The sequence below is a fragment of the Homo sapiens genome, chromosome 16 (assembly GCF_000001405.40).
Source record: "Homo sapiens chromosome 16, GRCh38.p14 Primary Assembly".
Lineage (NCBI taxonomy): Eukaryota > Metazoa > Chordata > Mammalia > Primates > Hominidae > Homo > Homo sapiens.
The window spans coordinates 9239758-9259605 of record NC_000016.10 but is presented as its reverse complement, the minus strand read 5'-3'; the positions used below and the strand labels follow the sequence as shown (position 1 = coordinate 9259605).

Here is a 19848-nt window from a genome sequence, read left to right as displayed (position 1 = left end):
AAAGATATGAATCTGAGAGACAGAGCTCACCCCAGGCTGGGGTGAATCCCTGCATTCGGGAGCCAGAAGGAGCTTCAGAGCAGCACTCCTCAAACCTCAATGTGTCGCAAACCCCCTAGAGAGGCTGTTAAGTAAGATTCTGCTGCAGCAGGCTGAACTAGAGGCCCAGACCTTGCAATTCCAACAAGAGCCCAGTGGTGCCGATGCTGCCAGCCCAGGACCACACTTTGAAAATCGAGACCATGAACTCATTCCTCTAACGTCTGTTGTCACCTAAACGAGGACAGTGAGGATCACTGTGCTACCATTTGGTTGAGTGACTAAAACACACTAGTCACTGGAGATACTGAGAAAATAGCAAAAGGAGCTAACATTTGAGCCCTTGCTATGAGCCAGACACCACCTAAGAAACCTCCATCTGTCACTCATCCATTCCTCGCAGGGGAAGGACCAGCCATGAGGCAGGCTTCACGAGTGCCCCCGTTCTCCAGACGATTTAATGGCCTCAGCACAAGGCAGCCACACTGCAGAGCTAGAACTCCATCGCTGCACTCAAAGAGGACAGCAACGGACCACCTAGGCAAGCTATGCGTCCTCCTAATCGAGGCAAGCTCTTCAACTACATTGGACTCAAGGCATCATGAACCTCCTAAGTGAAGTGGGCTGCAGGGATCACATATCTGCTAGCAGTAGGGACACCCACGGGGCCATGTGGCTAGGATGTTACCCATGGACAATTCTTTCGCTTTGCTTCTGAGACACTAAAGCACTAAGCCCTTAGACGAGACACTTCCACAGAGCCCATGTAATGCAAATAAATGCCCCCAAATAAAAGGGAAATAATCTGGTGCAGAATTTTGTAGCTGGTGCGTATTTGATGGGCATGATTTTCAGAAGTGGCTCCCAGCCCCTTTGTCAAGGTCCTGGGGTGCAGTTCCTGCCAGGTGTTGCGATACTACCACCTAGTGGCAATGTGGAGGTCTGCTGCGGAAGTCGAAGCGTCTAAACCCCCAAAACAACAGGGTAGGCTGCATTCTGTTAACACCAGTCTGGGCGGTGGCTGTTTTTAGCTGGGTCTCTCCTTCTGTGCCACTTTCATCATGGAAACTGGCTCTCTAGACCCAAAAAAAGCTGCGACGTGCTCTGCAAAAGCTGTTTGAGGGCCAATTTTAGCTGCATTTCTTGGAATTTGGGCTCCCAGGAGGAAGGAGGGATGTGCGGTTTCAGGAAGCTGTGCATCTTCTTCCTGGAGGCTGTTCTGGCCATGAGATCATGGATCCCTTTGGGTTCTGCACTGCACCCTGCAAAGGAGTATTTGGGTTTTATACATGGCAGCAACTGTGTCCTGGGAGAGTTTTCTTCATGTGGATCAAGAGCTTTCTTCATATGGATCATTTCATTGATGCTTACAAATAACCCTACAAAGACATTTAGAATGATGCCCATTTTACAGATGAGGAAATCAAGAGTTGGGAAAGTTAAGTGACTTGGCCAAGGTCATAGAGCTGGTACCTACCAGAGCCATGATTGCAACTCCAGAGTTTGTCCTCTACACCCAGAACCCAAACAAAGCATTAATCAAGAGTTCAAAGTCCCAGGTTCACCCACACTCTGCTGCCAATTCACTGTCTGACTTTGAGCAGGTCATTTAACCTCTCTGGGTCTCAGTCTCCTCGATGATAAAATGGGTGTGTTCCTCATAGATCCTGCTTCACAAGGTTATATGAGGATCCAAGAAGAAATCTGATATCCTTTGACTCAGTGGTTCTGTTTCCTGGCCTGGGGGACATCAGACTCCCAGAGTGTTCTACAGATTCCAGGAGATGGATGAGGATAGGCTCAGGATCGTGACACATGAAACTCTGCTCCATGAGCTGGGGACTGCCATTTGTTTGATTACCATTGTGCAAAGAGCTTAGTTAGCCCCTGGTAGGAAACTGAAGAGATGACCACCTACTATGTGTCAGGCCCTTATGCTGCGCATTGGATGTGCAAACGTAAGTGAGACATAGAGTTCATGGCCATGTGGCAGAGACTGACAGGTAGCCACGTGGACCCCTATACATTAAGGACTGTGACGGAATAAATATGGGGTGGAGGAGAGGGATATGGGATCACAGAAGGTCCCCGATCTAGCTTGACAGGATAGGCACCAGAGAAGCCTTCCTAGAAGATCTGACTCTAGTGGAGCCCACAAAGCTGTTAATCAGGTAAGAAAGGAAAGAAAAGAAGACTCTTGAGAGATCTGCAGGCCACGTGACATGCCAGTGCCCTGGAGGTCAACCTGACCCAAAGACAGAAGCTTTACCAGACTGCACCATCTCCAGAATCCTAGAAATCTCTCAAGTTCCTTCCCTTCCCGCTGCTTTCCAAAGCAACCAAGTCACTATTCACCTAATAACAAACAAACAACAACAACAACAAATTAGCCATTGTCCATGTCAGCCAAGGTCCAATTTCATGCCTTAAGATTTTGGACAGGTCATTGGAAGGCTATCCATCCCTGCTGCCACCATGCCAAGCCTCAAAATGCTAAATTAAATATAGGTAAAATGACAGGCTCACTTTTCCTATCTTTTACCTTGCTTGCAGATGGCTGTCACCTAGTCGGGGACCTGCAGGTACAACTGTTTAATATCTCACTGTTTCTTCACTGATACAATGTTGTCCTCCAGGAAATAGCCAGCAATGTCTGGAGACATGTTTGGTTGTCATAACCAGGGGGTGAGAGAGATGTTGCTACAGGCATCTGGTGGGTAGAGGCCAAGGACACTGCTCAACATCCCACAGTGCGCAGAACAGCCCCTACCACAAAGAACGATGTGGCCCAAGACACCACTAGTCCAGAGGTGGTAAAACCCTGTTGCATCCTGTTGAGCTGACCATGGAGGGCACTAAAGGAAGCCATTAGGCCACTGATGAGCATTCAGAGCCCTCCTGGATAGAGATGGAGGGAAAGGGGATGTGAAGTTTTCTATCTGACTTTATTTTTACCATATTGCATTATTCATCCATGTGGTTTTCAGTATTTTACCCCATCACTGACCATCAACACTGCCCCAATTCCTGGGAAAAATCAGATGGTACCTCAGCCCTTTCCTATTCTCCATTCATTCCACCCACGTGGACTGAGCACCTAATGCATGCCAGGCACACGATGGTGCTTAAGGCATAGCCTCTGCTCTCAGAAGCATTCAGTCTCCTGCAGAAGGCAAGTTTGGCCCCTTATGTGACTGGAGAAATAGGACACCAGGTGCCACGACTCCAGGGGCGCCACCTCTCACCTTGTAGTCTATGGGAATGGCGCCCCTGGAGGACGGCTTCAGAAAAGCAGGTGAAGTTGCCTCTGGGGTTGACCAATGTGGCAGCCTCTGAAATGCTAGAAAACAGGAAAAGGCAGATCAGTGGGGAGGGGGAGCTTTAGCTGTGCCTTAAAGGCAATGGAGGAGGACAAGGAACAGACAGGGAATAATATGGACAGATAGTGGAATGAACGGACATATGTCTAATACATACCAACAAGAGTGTCAGATACAAAACCACTACAATAGACGTTGCAATACCACTTTACAATATAAAGCTCACTCAAGACTTAATAATGTGCTAGGGGCCTTCACGAATTATCTTCCTTTGCCCACACATTAACCCTGGAAACAGATATTATTATCATCTGCAAATTGCAGATAAGGAAGGTGAGGCTTCATAATTACATATTTTACTCAAAGCTGCCCAATTCCAAGGTGGCAGAGCTGAAACTGGATTGTGAATGTTGATCATATGAACTTCATCATTCTTGTCACACCCAACTAAAAAAGAGTTGAAAAGTCAGGGGGGAAAATGCACTCAGGACACATAATATTGCTGCAAGAATGTTATTCTCTGCAAGTCCAGCTGCTGAGACTGCCTGTTGTAACCTGAGACTAGTTTTATCGATAACTGCTGAGATAAAGTGCTGCAACTCTAGGACTAATTTCATCTACTGCCATCGCCCACCAATCAAGCTTGCCAGCTCCCCAGAAACGTCTAGAGCCAATGAACATTCTCAACAAGCAATACACAACATTTCTCTTTGCCATAAAACCTCCAACTTTCTCTTTGTTCTTCAAATGTACCAAAGTCCGCCCAGTCTGTGTGCAAGCCCCAAACTGCAATTCTTTCTTCCCAAATAAAACATTAAATTAAGAAATTCATCACCACATTTTTATTTTGATTTTGCCAGAACCCATGGAGTTTAATTCCAAAAACTATATGCTTAACAGCTCCCCTATTAGCTGAGAAGAAAACTGTTCAAAAGCCCAGTAAGCAATGAGCATATGAGAGTTCAGGGAGCTAGCTGAAGCAGAAAATTTACTGGAAGAAGTAAAGAGACAGGCTCTGAAAAGCATCAAATGCTGGACTAAGCAGCCTGACCCTTGACACTGTAGAACTGGGAAGGCACATAGGTTTCCTCCTGTGATCCACCCTAGTTGATAGCTAGCTATGGGGAGAAGCAGTAAGGAGAGGAGTTTGAGGCTTGCTGTAATTGATTAGTGATGTCTGCCTTGAGTGTAGGAATGGGGGATAACAGCACACTTAGTCTACACTTGCCATTCCTGATGTGGGCAATAAGGAGCCATTACAAGTTTCTGAGCAAGGAGTGCTTTAGTAGGACTACTCAGGCTATGATATGAAGAGTAGAGACCAGAGCAGAGATAGCTGGGATTCTACGGAAAGCAGCATTTTCTTCAAAATATGGAACCTGCAAAAGGCAACCTGCTCCAACAAACTTGATCAAATATTTTTACAATTATCTCCACTCCCTGAATAGTTGTTTTAACTCTACTAACCTCATTCAAGAGTTCCACTGATGGCAAGTCCAAGGAACTCCAACAGTGCTTCCCCCCCACCAAGGAATATTCCTCATTATAATTTTGTTCTCATATAACTTTGACTAATTAGAACACTTGGGAAGGAAGGGGTGGCAGACAGGCTCAGGGAATCACGACAATAAGCAAGAAGGATTTAATCACCATCTGGTAATTCTAAATTACTATCCACAGTGTCCCAACATGGAAATGTCTTCTCCAAAAGGTGCCTTATTTGAGAGGTGTGGAGTGAGGTGGCCAGTAGCCAGAGGGCACCTCAAGGTGTCCCTCCCACAGCACACAAGCAAAAGAGCTCCTGTGCTGGTCAGAAAAAAAACCTACCATGGCAAAGTCAACTGCAAGGTATTAACAAGACAGACTAAAATCATAAAACAGAGACACAGGAATGAATCTTTATACATTCCTTCAACAAGTGCTTTTAACATCCTTACTGTGTGTCAAAGTACCTTAGAAGTGATACAGACATCTTCCCACTTTATGTTGAATCCACCCCACACCATCCATAGTGGACCATAGTGACTAATGTCTTCAGAAGCCCAGCACATCTTCCTCCATTACCCTTCTTCTAGTAACTTCTAGTAATTTCTACTCCCAATCATTGGGATGGACACATGACCCAGCCAGACCTGGCCAATCATGCTCAGTGATTGCTCCAGGAGTGGGCATACGATCCAAGCAGAGCCACACAGAGTCCTCTCCTGTGACGTTCTCTTGTAGTCAGGGTTGTGAAGGACGATGTGGAATCAGGAGCAATGGTGGCCATCTTCCCCACCACATGGACAAAGCAGAAGATGGAGCCAGGCAGAGGGAAGCAGACAGTCTCCACCTCCTTCAATTCTACAAAAGCTATCTGAGAATTCTTCCTGACTACATGAACCAATACATTTCCTCCCTTGCTGATACGGTTTGGCAATGTCCCTACCCGAATCTCATCTTGAATTGTAGCTCCCATAATTCCCATGTCATGGGAGGGACCTGGTGGAGGATAATTGAATCATGGGTGCAGTTTTCCCCATACTGTTCCCATGGTAGTGAGTAAGTCTCACGAGATCTGATGGTTTTATCAGGGGTTTCCTCTTTCGCTTGGCTCCCATTCTGTCCTGTCTGCCACCATGTAAGATGTAAGTGCCTTTCGCCCTTCACCGTGATTGTGAGGCCTCCCCAGCCACACGGAACTGTGAGTTCATAAATCTCTTTTTCTTTATAAATTACCCAGTCTCAGGTATGTCTTTATCAAGCAGCCGTGAAAACAGACTAATACGCTTGCCATGAGTTATCATCTCACCCCAGTTAAAATGGCTTATATCCAAAAGACAGGTGATAACAAATGCTGGTGAGGATGTGGAGAAAAGGGAACCCTTGTAAACTGTTGGTGGGAATGTAAACTAGTACAACCACTATGGAGAACAGTTTGGAGGTTACTCAAAATACTAGAAGTTTCCAGAAGAGTTTTGACTGATACATCATCCATGACTCACATCTCCACTTGGTATCCTCCAGGGATTGGGGAACTGATGGGGGACTCACTCTCTTGAGGTAACCCTTCTACTTTGAGGCACTTTGCCAGAAATCTCTTTCTTAGAAAAAGCCAAAATTTCCCTCATGGGTCCTCCAACCCTTGAATTCTGGTTCTGCCCTCTGGAGTTCCCCAGTCTGAATCTATGACACTGCTGTATAATATCTGCTAAACATGCATTTGCAAGATGCATGCCTTCCCCCAGGCACATCACACACACACACACACACACACACACACACACACACACTAACCCCAAGCCACCTCTTTGCTTGGATGAGCACCTGAGTTCAACCTACTGTTCTGCATTTGACATGGTATAATGGTGCATCTGCATTCAGGCAAGGCTGGATCTAGGGGAACATATGAAATAAATCATCAGGACACTATCTCACCTTTTCTTTGTTCTAATTTCTTCAGTCTTGGCTGTGTTCACAGATAAACTCTTTCCACCTAGAAAATGGACCTGACAGCTCATACATCATCTTCACAGCTGATTATACCAATTAACAGCAACTCGCCCATGATAGGAAGAGTTCCGATTTGCCTGGGGGAGGAGGGGTGGGTAACATGCTTTTGTTGAGCCAATCATTGTGGCCAGAGGAATTCAGAATTCCTGTGGCCAGTCATGGGTGATGTGCCTATCTCTTTGTAGGGGGAAAGCAGGGAAAGGCTCCCAGCATATTGGAAGTTACCAGAAAGCTGAGAGGAGAGGAATGGGAGAAAGGGAGAGGAAGTTGGCTTGAGAAGGGAACGCTCTAGTAAATAGCATTTGATCTACATGATTTGCAGAACTTCCACCTTCTAGGTTCTCTCCTGGACATGGTTCGAGCATCACCCTGCAAGGGTGGTACCTGGGTCTGAACCAGGTCAGGAAACATCATTTCATCATCACCTTCTTTTCTTGTGTATTGAGCCAGCCCAGACTCACATTATCCCCTTGGAAGTCACATTTCATCCTCACTCCCACTGAAGTTACCAGCAACATGCATGCACACACACACACAGGACACATAGCACATGTGCACACACACACACAGACACATACATAGATTCACAAATATAAACACATATTTACACATGCATATGTATTCATACAGAGACACATAAACACATACAGCCATGCATACACAGATATGAACATAGAACATAAATATGCATGCATATGCATGTACACATACATAAACACACAGCGATCCACATACACACACGTGCAGGCATACACACAAGGATACACATACACATATGCATACACACAGATGTGCACACATACACACATTAACATATCTATACACACTTACCTTAACACATGCACACACCTACACAGACATACACACGAACTCAGAGGCACACAGAAACATGTATACACACATGCACATACATACACAGACAGACATAAACATACACTCACACAGAGACACATGCAAACACATCTACACACATACACATACATAAAGGCTCCTCACATGAGCTGCTGAGGACAAAAGAACACCTCACATCACCTGGAATGAAGACCCCACACACCCACATGCCTTCAGGTCCATTCTCACTGCAAATAAGACTCCCAAGTTAAAAAAGCCAAACCATGGCCGGGCGCGGTGGCTCACACCTGTAATCCCAGCACTTTGGGAGGCCGAGGAGGGCAGATCATGAGGGCAGTAGATCGAGATCATCCTGGCTCACACGGTAAAACCCCGCCTCTACTAAAAATACAAAAAATTAGCCAGGCTTGGTGGCATGCACCTCTAGTCCCAGCTACTCGGGAGGCTAATGCAGGAAAATCACTTGAACCCAGGAGGCGAAGGTTGCAGTGAGCCGAGATGGCGCCACTGCACTGCTGCCTGGGCAATAGAGTAAGACTCCGTCTCAAAGAAAAAAAAAAAAACACCATGTGTTCCCTGCCCACCTCCCAGAGCCTTCAGCCTAACATTGGCTTCTCCCATCACCATGGAAACCACACCACCCCCCAGCACTTGCCATTCAGGAACTTTTGTGGCATTCCTGAATGTCAAAATGACATCGATATTTTCCAGAGAGGTGACCCTAATTTTGAGCACAACTCAAAGGACTCCTTGAAGATAGAATGCAGGCTGACTTCTCTGGCCCCGGGTGAGTCACCAGAGAAGGAAGGCAATGTTGTTGGTCTGCTTTCTTTTGTGTTCCTGCTTTTTATGTTATAAAATGGGCCTCAGGAATAAAATCATGATTGATAACATTGTGTGTTTTGGAAAGATGGGTGCTCTGAGGCTCAGAGAAATGAAATAATCAGCCTAAGGTCACACAGCAGAACACTTCTAAAAAAAATTTTTTATTTTTAATTTTTGTGGGTATATAGTAGGTGTATATATTTATGGGCATATGAGAGACAGATGGATAGATAGATAGATAGATAGATAGATAGATAGATAGATAGATAGATAAATAGTTTGCTGTTTGTTTGTTTTGAAAACGAAGTCTCACTCTGTCACCTGGGCTGGAGTGCAATGGCCCAATCTTGGTTCACTGCAACCTCCGCCTCCCAGGTTCAAGCGATTCTCCTGCCTCAGCCTCCCAAGTACCTAAGATTACAGGCACCTGCCACTACTCCCAGCTAATTTTTGTATTTTTAGTAGACACAAGGTTTCACCATGTTGGCCAGGCTGATCTCGAATTCCTGACCTTCCTGGCTAACATGGTGAAACCCCGTCTCTACTAAAAATAAAAAATTAGCCAGGCGTGGTGGCAGGCGCCTGTAACCCCAGCTACTCAGGAGGCTGAGGCAGGAGAATCACTTGAACCCCAAGGCAGAGGTTACAGTGAGCCAAGATCACACCACTGCACTCCAGCCTGGGTGACAAGAGTGAGACTCTGTCTCAAAAAAAAAAAAAAAAAAAAAAGAAATGGGCAACATAGTGAGATCCTGTCTCTACTAAAAATATAAAAAAATTTGCCAGGTGTGGTGGTGCACACCTGTCATTGTAGGTACTTGGGAGGCTGAGGTGGGAGGATCACCTGAGCCCAGAAGGTTGAGGCTGCAGTGAGCTGTGATTGTGTCTCTGCACTCCAGCCTGGGCGACAGAGCAAGACCCTGTCTCAAAAACAAAACAAAACAAAACAAAAAGATAATACAATACACATAAAGTACTTAGCGCTGTGCTGGGACCAAGTGGGTGCTGAACACAGGCCGTCCATCATCACTACTCTTATTAACATCACTGTTATTTCAGTTATTTCAGATGTGCCAGTAGGGTCTCTTTTATTCCAAGTGATATATGCCAGTGTGCCAGGATTTAGTATTTCTGTACATGACACTGTTATTCTGCTATAGACAGAGACATGGGATATTTTCACTTTGTTATTTATACCGATAGGGAAGGTGTCACTGTTGGTTACGTACATAGCGATCAGGCACTTTACTCTGTTATTTTTAAGCCAGAGTTTCTGGATGTTATGTATGTAGTTAAGATATGTGTATATTTACTTCTCACAATCCCTACAGATCTGGCATGTTTGGGTTGGTTAAATATGCTTGGCTCCTGTCACCAGCATGCACGGTGCTACAATCTCAGAAGAGACTGAGGAAGACACAGCTAGAGTGACCCATTCTCCAAGTGTGCCTGGGACTGAGGGGTTTCCCTGGGGTCAGGACTTTCAGGTGTAAAACCAAGAAAGTCCTAGGCAAAGCAGGACTAGTTGGTCAACCTAGACACCACCAAGGTCAGCAGTCCCCAAATACCACTTGTTCATACCCCACACGCCTAACCACTTAGGAGCACGGATTCTGGAGTCAGGGGTCTCGGTTCAAATCTCGCTCCACCAGTCAGTCACGCAGGCTGGGAAAGATACTGAAGTTTCTCCACCTCCTTTTGCTCAAGTGTAAAATGGGGCTAATAATGGAACTAACTGCAATGACTATGAGAATTTAATGAGTTAATAAATAGAAAATGCTTAAAATCATGCCTATCCCAGGGAAAGGACTCAATAAACCTTTGCTCTTATTATATCTGCCACTACCTCTAGTATCTATTTAAATATTTTCTAGATCTACACAATCTTAAAAGGCTTAAATGCATCTATTGTAAAATTAAATGGTACATCACTACCCTAATTGGAAAGCCAGTCCTGTTAATCATAAATAGAAGGTAACTGTAAACATAAGTGTGTAACTATTTACCAAGTAGAAGCAGCTAACACCCCACTAATGGGATGCCAACACCCTTTGGAAACCCTGATTTCTAGCCCACTTGCTCCATACAAGTGGAAATAGGCTGAGAAACAGAGAGGAACAAGGCAAGATGGAGTCAGGGCTCAGAAGCCTGCTGTATGGACTCCACATCTAAGCCCATCACACTGTGCCCTAGGGCCATTAAGAAAGGGCAGGTAGGCTCACATCTGTAATCCCAGCACTTTGGGAGGCCAAGGCGGGCGGATGACTTGAGGTCAGGAGCTCAAGACCAGCCTGGCCAACACCATGAAACTGCATCTCTACTAAAAATACAAAAAAAATTAGCCAGGCATGGTGGCACATGCCTATAGTCCCAGCTACCTGGGAGGCTGAGGCAGGAGAATGGCTTGAAACCGGAAGGTGGACGTTGCAGGGAGCCAAGATCGCGCCACCGCACTCCAGCCTGGGCGACAGAGCAAGACTCCGTCTCAAAAAAAAAAAAAAAAAAGAAAAAGAAAAGAAAGAAAAAAAAACAAAGGGCAGGTAGGAGACAGTCATTTTCCACAGGTTGGCCCTTTTCAAAGCAGATATCTAAAATGCCTCTAGTCAGTCCTCACCTAGCCTGGTCCTCAGCAGGCAGGTTAGAGTCAGGGTTAAGGCAACTCCCTGCACTTGCTCTGCCCCCTTAGGACAAGTCACTTCACCTCTCTGGGTCTCAGTGAACTCCATCTGCAAAATGAGCATAATAATGTCTGCCTCACAGGGTCACTGAGAGGATCAGACAGGATAAAGGTAAACACATCTTGTGGCTTTGAATGCATTCAAGAAACGTTCCTGCTCACCATCTGGCCTTGTCAAATACTAAGAATTAATTTGTGGAAGCTTTTCATTACTTGGGTGGGAACGGTCTCATTCCCCTAACCCCAATTGCCTCAATGAAAACTAGGAAAGATGTATCATCAGAAAGCTCTTTAGAGAGCCAAGAAGGAAGGGATGTTAATTTTACCACTTTTAGGCAATTGTTCTTTTTTTTTAATTGTACTTGAAAATCTGGGCTCCCACTTAAGAATACTTCAAACAGTGAGCTTGAATCACAGTATGAACTTCAAGTGACAGGCTCATAATACAATTAGAGCAACTGCTTATTATCTTCTATTATTGAATAATATGTTCATTAATAGCTCTCCCCTTCCTTTATTATAACAGTCTCCTGCTAAAAATAAACATAAACACCGAGACCCAGGATGTTGGAGAGCTGAACTTCACCACAGAGTGACCAGCAGCTGTACTGGGTGGGACCAGGGATCCAGCATTCAGTGGCTGTATTAGTCCATTTTCACACTGCTGATAAAGACATACCTGAGACTGGGTAATTTATAAAGAAAAAGAGATTTAATGGACTCATTTCCACAGGACTGGGGAGACCTCACAATCATGGCAGAAGGTAAAAGGCACAACTCACATGGCAGCAGACAAGAGAGAATGAGAGCCAAATGAAAGGGGTTTCCCCTTATAAAACCATCAGATCTCATGAGACTTACTCACTACCATGAGAACAGTATGGGAGAAACAACTCCCATCACTCAATTATCCCCGACCAGGTTCCCCCAACCAACATGTGGGAATTATGGGAGCTACAATTCAAAATGAGATTTGGGTGGGGACACAGCCAAACCATATCAGTGGCCGTGACCAAGTCCAACCTGGAGCCACCCCTTTGATCTGCTGATCCAGGAGCCCTTGCCTGCCAGGTTATATGGAGACAGAAGGAAATGAAAGGCCCTGCATACATTTTATCTGGTGTCATCCTCACCACATCCCTATAAAGCAAGTTTTATTACCATGTCTTCTCTTTCACAGATGAAGAGACTGAGGGTCAGAGAGGCTCCTTGACGTGCCCAAGTCACACAGCAAGGAAACGTCAGAACCAGGATGTAAACCCTGCTCTGTCTGACTCCATTACACTAAGCCCAGATCTTTCAAAGGAAGATTTCTTTTTCATTTCCCTTTGATATGTGTTCCTGATAGTCCCAACAATCATTTCTCTACTTTGCAAAGATGTGTGCCTGTGTATGTGTCCTTTTTCACAAAATAGGCAATCATCTATCTCCTCCTCCTCCTTTACCTCCTTCTCCTCTTCCTCTAATTTGGGCACCCAAGACTAGAAATGGGGTGTCTCCATAGGATTATGAGAGACTGACTGTTTATGTGCTCAGAGTAACAACAGAGGAGGGCTGTGCTTTCTCCCTTCTGGGGCTAAAACTGACTTTGTGGAAGAGCTAGAAAAAGTCCTATAAATAGCTCTGGTACAGGCCAACCACCACCTTCAAGCCCTGGTGTTATATTCTCCTCCCTGTGATGACCCAGGAATTCAGGGAACAGAAGACCACAATTTTCAGGAATAATAGTGAGAACGCCCTGTCTAGAAATTATGTTCATCCTACACTTGGGCTCTTCCTCACTCACCCCCCAGCTCCCTCCTGGTTTATTATCCCCATTTCATACAGGAGAAGCTTAAAGATCAAGGCCAGTCCTGTCCACTTGGCAGATGGAGAAACTGAGGTCCATGGAGACTCTGGTTAATTTTATATGTCAGCTCAGCCAGGCTGTGGTGCCCAGTTGTTTTGGTCAAACACGAGTCTGCATGTAGCTGTGAAGCTTTTTGGGGGATGTGAGTAAGATCCACAACCAGCCAATTTTACCCTTCATAACTGAATGGAACTCATCGAATTGTCTGAAGGCCTTAAGAGCAAAAATTGGGCTGGGCACGGTGGCTCATGCCTGTAATCCAACCACTTTGGATGGCCTAAACAAGAGAATGGCTTGAGGCCAGGAGTTCAAGACCAGCCTGGGCAACATAGTGAGACCCAGTCTCTACAAAAAAAAAAAAAAAAAAAGCAAAACTGAAGTTTCCCCAAGAAAAATAAACACTGCAACACAGGGCCGGGCACGCTGGCTCATGCCTCTAATCCCAGCACTTTGGGAGGCCAAAGCGGGTGCATCACTTGAGGCCAGGAGTTCAAGACCAGCCTGGGCAACATGACAAAACCCCGTCTCTACAAAAAATACAAAAATTAGCTGGGCGTGGTGGGGGGCACCTCTAATCCAAGCTACTCAGAAGGGTGAGGCAGGAGAATCACTCTAATCCAGGAGGCAGAGGTTGCAGTGAACTGAGATCATGCCACTGAACTCCAGCCTGGGTGACAGGGCAAAACTCCATCTCAAAAGAAAAGAAAAGAGGAAAGGAAAAGAGAAGGAGAAGGAGAGGAGGAAGGAGCAACATAGATAAACTGCCTGCATTTCCAGCCCGCCTGACTTGTGCCATGAATTTCAGATTCAAGACTGCAACATCAACTCTTACCTGAACTTCTAGCCTGTCAGCCTGCCTTACAGACTTCAGACTTTCCAACCCCTACAATCATATGAGCCAATGCCTTAAAATACACACGTGTGCACGCACACACACACACACACATACACCCCACTACTGGTTCTGTTTCTCTGTAGAACTTCAGTTAATACAGCAAATAAAGCAGACAGAGCCCCTGGGGATGGAGACCATGGAGGAATTCAAGAATGACGCCCCTACTATGCTCAAGGAGCTTTTGTATGTGTTATCAAATCCTCACCCACCATCCATAAAGACAGTTTTGCCATTTCTCCAGGATTCAGAGAGCTTAAGTGACTCGCCCAGGGTCACCTAACTGAAAATCAAACCCATAACTGTCTGCCTCCAACATCCACACTCTTTCATGCACCAACTACAGTGCCCTCAGAAACATGGTATCAGAGAGTCCAGGAGCATCACTTTTTTCCAGAATGCCAAAAGGAGCTCTTTCTCAAGTCCTTCCGTGAAAAGTCATCAAGGTCAAAAACCAACATGCATTTCTTCTAGATGCAAAGAATGGAAAACCCAACTCAAGCTCCCTTGGGTAACAAAGGGCACTTTTCCACTCCCATGTGTGGGAGGCCCAGCGGCAGATCTTAACACCTGAGCTGAGAACAGAGGTGCCAAGAGCATCATGAGAGTTTGATTTCTGTTGCCATCCCTCCTCTGGATGATAACCATCCCAAGCTCCTCATTGTGGCCTTGGAAGCCTGCAGCTTTCATCACTGGAACTGCCAGCAGTTTCTCTGGAAAGAGAAATCCTCCCTGAGAGTTTAAAGACTTGGAATTAAGAATTGTGGGCCTGGTTTAGCTCTCTTCTCTCTTGCCAGAACTAACTGAGATGCAACCCAACAAAGGCCATACTGTTCCTGGACCAAACCGAGGGTCAGGCTGCTTACTCTCACCGCCCAATAACCAGATACAGATGAACTGGGGAGGAAGACAGTTTTTATTTCTGTAACCAGGTACAGGGAGAAGGCCTGGAAAATAACACCAGACCAACTCAAAATTACAAAGTTTTCCAGAGCTCATATACCTTCTAAGCTATATGTCTACGTGTAAGCGTGCATTCATCTGAAGACATAAGTGATTAACTTCTCATCTGTAACTAAGAGCTAAGTCCTGAAGAACTTCCTCTGGAGTCTCATTAAATTTACTTAATCTAAATGGGTCCAGGTGCTGGGGAGATTACCCTTATCTTGTCTTCTGCTAAATCATGAAGGTTTGGGGAGTCCCTTCAGAACCCCAATAAACTTGTTTGTCGAAGCCTGGGGAGTTTCTTCAGACCTCCCAATAAACTTGTTTAATCCCAAATGGGTCCTGTTAAGAATTCCTTCGTTATCTTGTCATGTTTCAAGGCCCAGGAAAGGCCTAGGCAAAACTCTTGGGGGGCTTTTGTTACATTCCAGCCTTTGTATAAGGGCACTGGCCCTCTCAGCTCTTAATATTTAACTTCACCACTCAGTCAGTGCTGAAACAGTTGTTATGGAGGCCTACCAGTTCAGCTGTTAGGGAGACCTGGCTTGCCACAATACTATGTGACTTCAAATCCCTGCTCCATCACTCACCTGCTGGTGACTCTGGACAGTAACCTTAACCCTTCCTCCATTGTTCCATCTATAAAATAGATGTAAGAATTAGATTTCCCTCAAAGGATTGGGATGAGGATTAAACGGATTAATATGCATTTATGGGCCGGGCGCGGTGGCTCACTCCTGTAACCCCAGCACTTTGGGAGGCCGACGCAGGCGGATCACCTGAGGTCAGGAGTTCGAGACCAGCCTGACCAACATCATGAAACCCCATCTCTACTAAAAATACAAAAATTAGCTGGGCGTGGTGATGTGTGCCTGTAGTCCCAGCTACTCAGGAGGCTGAGGCCAGAGAATCGCTTGAACCCAGGAGGCAGAGGTTGCAATGAACCAAGATCATGTCATTACACTCCAGCCTGGACAACAAGAGCAAAACTCCACCTCAAAAAGGAAAAAAATGCATCTATAAAGTGATTGCAATAGTGACTAGCACACAGTAGTAGTGGTACATGAAGGTGACTGTTAATTGAATTACCAGAAGTAGGAATTGACAGGTGCATGCCCTCGCCTGAAGCCTGGTTCTGCCCCACGTGAGTCACAAGAATTAAAAGAGGCAGAGGATGATTCCCCTACAGGAAATGGATGTACAGTTAGCAAAGAAAGGAGAATTCGGAGCAGAAAGGCCAGCACAGCTGCTGTCTGATAAAGTGACCTCCATGAAATGCCACAATACCGGATTATTTTCTTTCCTATTAGAGACAAACCTAAGGTTGAAGCTGCCTTAAATTGAGATGATAAAAAATATCCTAATTATGTGCGAGAATAAAACAGAGCAGGTCATCCCGGCCTGCTGCTAGAGTTTCCTTTGTGTTTCTACCTACCAAAAATGAATCCAGGACAATCAGACATTTAAAGTCTACCTTTGGCCAGGCGAGGTGGCTCATGCCTGTAATCTCAGCACTCTGGGAGGCCAAGGCGGGTAGATCACTTGAGGTCAGGAGTTCGAGACCAGCCTGGCCAACATGGTGAAACCCCATCTCTACTAAAAATACAAAAATTAGCAAGGCTTGGTGGCACATGCCTGTAATCCCAGCTACTTGGGAGGCTGAGACAGGAGAATCACTTGAACCCTGGAGGTTGAGGTTGCAGTGAGCCGAGATCGTGCCACTGCACTCCAGGCTGGGTGACAGCAAGACTCAGCCTCAAAAATAAAAAATAAAGTCTACCTTTAACTCGTTCATTTGTTCTATAGACATTTAATGAGCCCTAGAGATGGATGTTCCCCCACGCTAATGAAGCTTCAGCTCCAGGGACCCTCATGGAAATAGGTTTCTTCCAAGGCCTTCTACCTAATTTGATATTTGTAACTCTGAATTATTTTCCTTAAGGAAGACCCCCCTAAATTGTATAAGCCTCAGGCTCCACAAAAACCTGGACTTGCCTCCATGAGTCCTTTTATGCGCAGAGTGATGAGAGGCTGAATGTACAGAGATGAAAGGCAGTCCTGTCCTGCAGGGCTTGAGTTATACAAGATAAATAAGCCCTAGAGTTCAGCCTAGTGCCTGCAGCTAACAATACTGTGTTGTGTATTTGAAGAGGATTTAATAATACTGTATTGTGTATTTAATAAGAGGACAGATCTGAGGGTATGTGTTCTTGCCATAAATAAGAAAGGAGAAAACCTTTGGAGGTGATGAAAATGTTTATTACATGGATGGCTGTCATGACTCCATGGGTGAGTACTGATCTCTAAATTCATCAAGTTGCATACATTAAATATGCTTTTCATATGTCAAAGAAGGAGGTGATTTAAAAATACAAAAGAAAAAGAAAGTAGTCATGTCTTGAAGGAGCTTCCCTCCATTGCAGAAAATTGAGAATGAGTATGAGGATCATTTCACAGGGAAAATATTTGCTATTCATTCATTCAATCATTAAATAAATATGTATTCATCCCCTACTATATGTCAGGCACTGCAAAGTCAAGGATGAAAAGGCAGGGAAGGGCTGTGCTTTCAAGGCGCTTACAATCGATCAATATCAAAAAAAAAAATTTCAGTCCAGGGCTGAGCACAGTGGCTCATGCCTGTAATCCCAGCAGTTTGGAAGGCCAAGGCAGGTAGAACGCCTGAGGTCAGGAGTTCAAGACCAGCCTGGCCAACATGGGAAAACCCTGTCTCCACTGAAAATACAAAAATTAGCCGGGTATGGTGATGTGCACTTGTAATCCCAGCTATTCAGGGGACTGAGGTAGAAGAATCACTCGAACCCGGGAGGTGGAGGTTGTAGTGAACCGAGATCATGCCAGTGCACTCCAGCCTGGGAGACAAAGAGAGACTTCGTGTGAAAAACAAAAAAAATCAGTCCAGAAAAATAGGATGAAGTGGTAAAGAATGACCGAGATGCTTGGTTGGGAAAGGGTTCTCAGTCGGGAAAGAAAAGCTGGTATATAAGTATGAAAAGTCCCAGCCGTGTAAAGATAGGGAATCGTTCTAAGCAGAAAGAAAAGCAAATGGCAAGGCCTAAAGAGGGGATGACTCCAGTGATGAAAGCAGCAGATGGAAAGCCAGCATGGCCAGCACAGAGTGGACCAAGGGGAGAGAAACAAGATGAGGTCAAAGAAGTAGGAAGGAGCTAGGTGTTGTAGGGTCTTAATGCCAGAGTGAGAGGGCTGGATTTTCACATTGGAAGCAATCAGGTTTTTAGACAAGAGAATGCTATGATCTTGTTGATATTACCAAAGAGTTCTCTGCCTGCCATGGACAGAACAGAGTGTCAGGCAGGAGCAAAGGCTAGTTAAGGGAACTCTGCCCCTATTCAGTTGGCAAACACCCCAAAGTTTCACAACCTATTGTTGTAGGTCAGGAGGAAACAGGCCTTCTCAGCTATTATTGGTGGGAATGTAAAATTGTACCATTCCCATAAGGGGGAATTTGGCAATATATAGGAAATTTACATATGCATTTGGCCACTGACTCATCAATCCCTGTCTTAGTCCTTTTGTGTTGCTACAAAGGAATGCCTGGGGCTGATTAATTTATAAAGAAAAGAGGTTTATTTGGCTCACAGTTCCGCAGGTTGTACAAGAAGCATGGCGCCAGCATCTGCTCCTGGTGAGAGCCTCAGGCTGCTTCCACATATGGCAGAACGTGAAGGGAGTTGGTGTGTGCAGAGATTACATGGCAAGAGAAGAGGCAAGACAGAGATGGGAGTGCCAGGGTCTTCTAACCAACCAGCTCTCACAGGAACTAATAAAAACGCACTCACCACTCTTCACCAAGAGTGGGCATTAATCTATTTGTGAGGAATCCACTCCCATGACACAAACACCTCCCATTAGACTCCATCTCCAACTTTGAGGATCAAATCTCGACATAAGGTTGTGTGGACAAACCTGCAAAATATAGCAATCCTACTCCCAAAAATCTATTCAAAAAATACACTACCAAAAAGACCAAAAAAAAAAAAAAAAGACTGTAGGGGGATGACTCTATTCTTTGCAGCATCATTTGTGATGGCAAAGACTGGGAATCACCTATACAGTTGCCTGGTTAAATTAATCCTGTACATTGACACAATACCATCCACTTCCTAGTGTTAAAGGAATGTGGAATGTCTCTACTTAGTGCTATGGAGTGATCTCCAGGATATATTATTAAATAAAAATGCAAAGTAGAGAAAAAATATGTATATTATGCTGACATTTACCTAAGAAAGAGGTGGGATATGAACACATGTTTTCATGGAAAGAATAAATCAAAAATTTTAAAAATGGTTACCTACAGAGGGATAGAGAAAATTGTTGAAGGGCGGAGACACAGAAACTAAATTTCACTAAATAGATTGTGTAAATTTGATTTTTAAACATTATAATTTTTTATATCAATTCCTAAAAATTAACTATTCCAGTGACTTTAAACATAATATTTGACTGTAAATCCCTAGTAAGATTAAGATATGCGTTCAAAACCAAAAAAAGACTGCAAAATATCTTACATTGTTTTCATTAATCACATCATCGATATGACATGATATGTTGCTATTGTTTTCCTGCAAACATTCTGTATGCATTATGAGATGAAGAAAATGAGTGAATATGTTGGTTTTGGAAGGAATCAGGAATTTTAGTATAGAAGAAAGAAGATGCTGATATAAAATTGAAGACACTAAGTAAAAACCTACTAGTGCTGAATTTGAATTGGAAATCTCAGTATCAAATCAAGTTGTATTTTAGCTACAAAAAAAAAAAAAAACAAAAAGAAAATGTTTTGAGTTACTGGTTCTAGCCAATAAAAAGATGAGAAACAATGTCCATCCAAGAAACAACAAGCACCCCCAGCACTCAGACTGTGGTCACTAAGTGCCACTCCCCACCTAGAGAAACCAGGGATCAATGAAGAAAA

General features: G+C 44.6%; 1 annotated feature.

The window, feature by feature from the left end:
* Positions 820–1114: an enhancer, noted in NCBI's record as "tiled region #5573; HepG2 Activating non-DNase unmatched - State 12:CtcfO, and K562 Activating DNase matched - State 12:CtcfO". NCBI's record gives its function as "activates a minimal TATA promoter and a strong SV40 promoter by Sharpr-MPRA in HepG2 and K562 cells {active_cell/tissue: HepG2 | K562}" and the evidence as "EXISTENCE:reporter gene assay evidence [ECO:0000049][PMID:27701403]".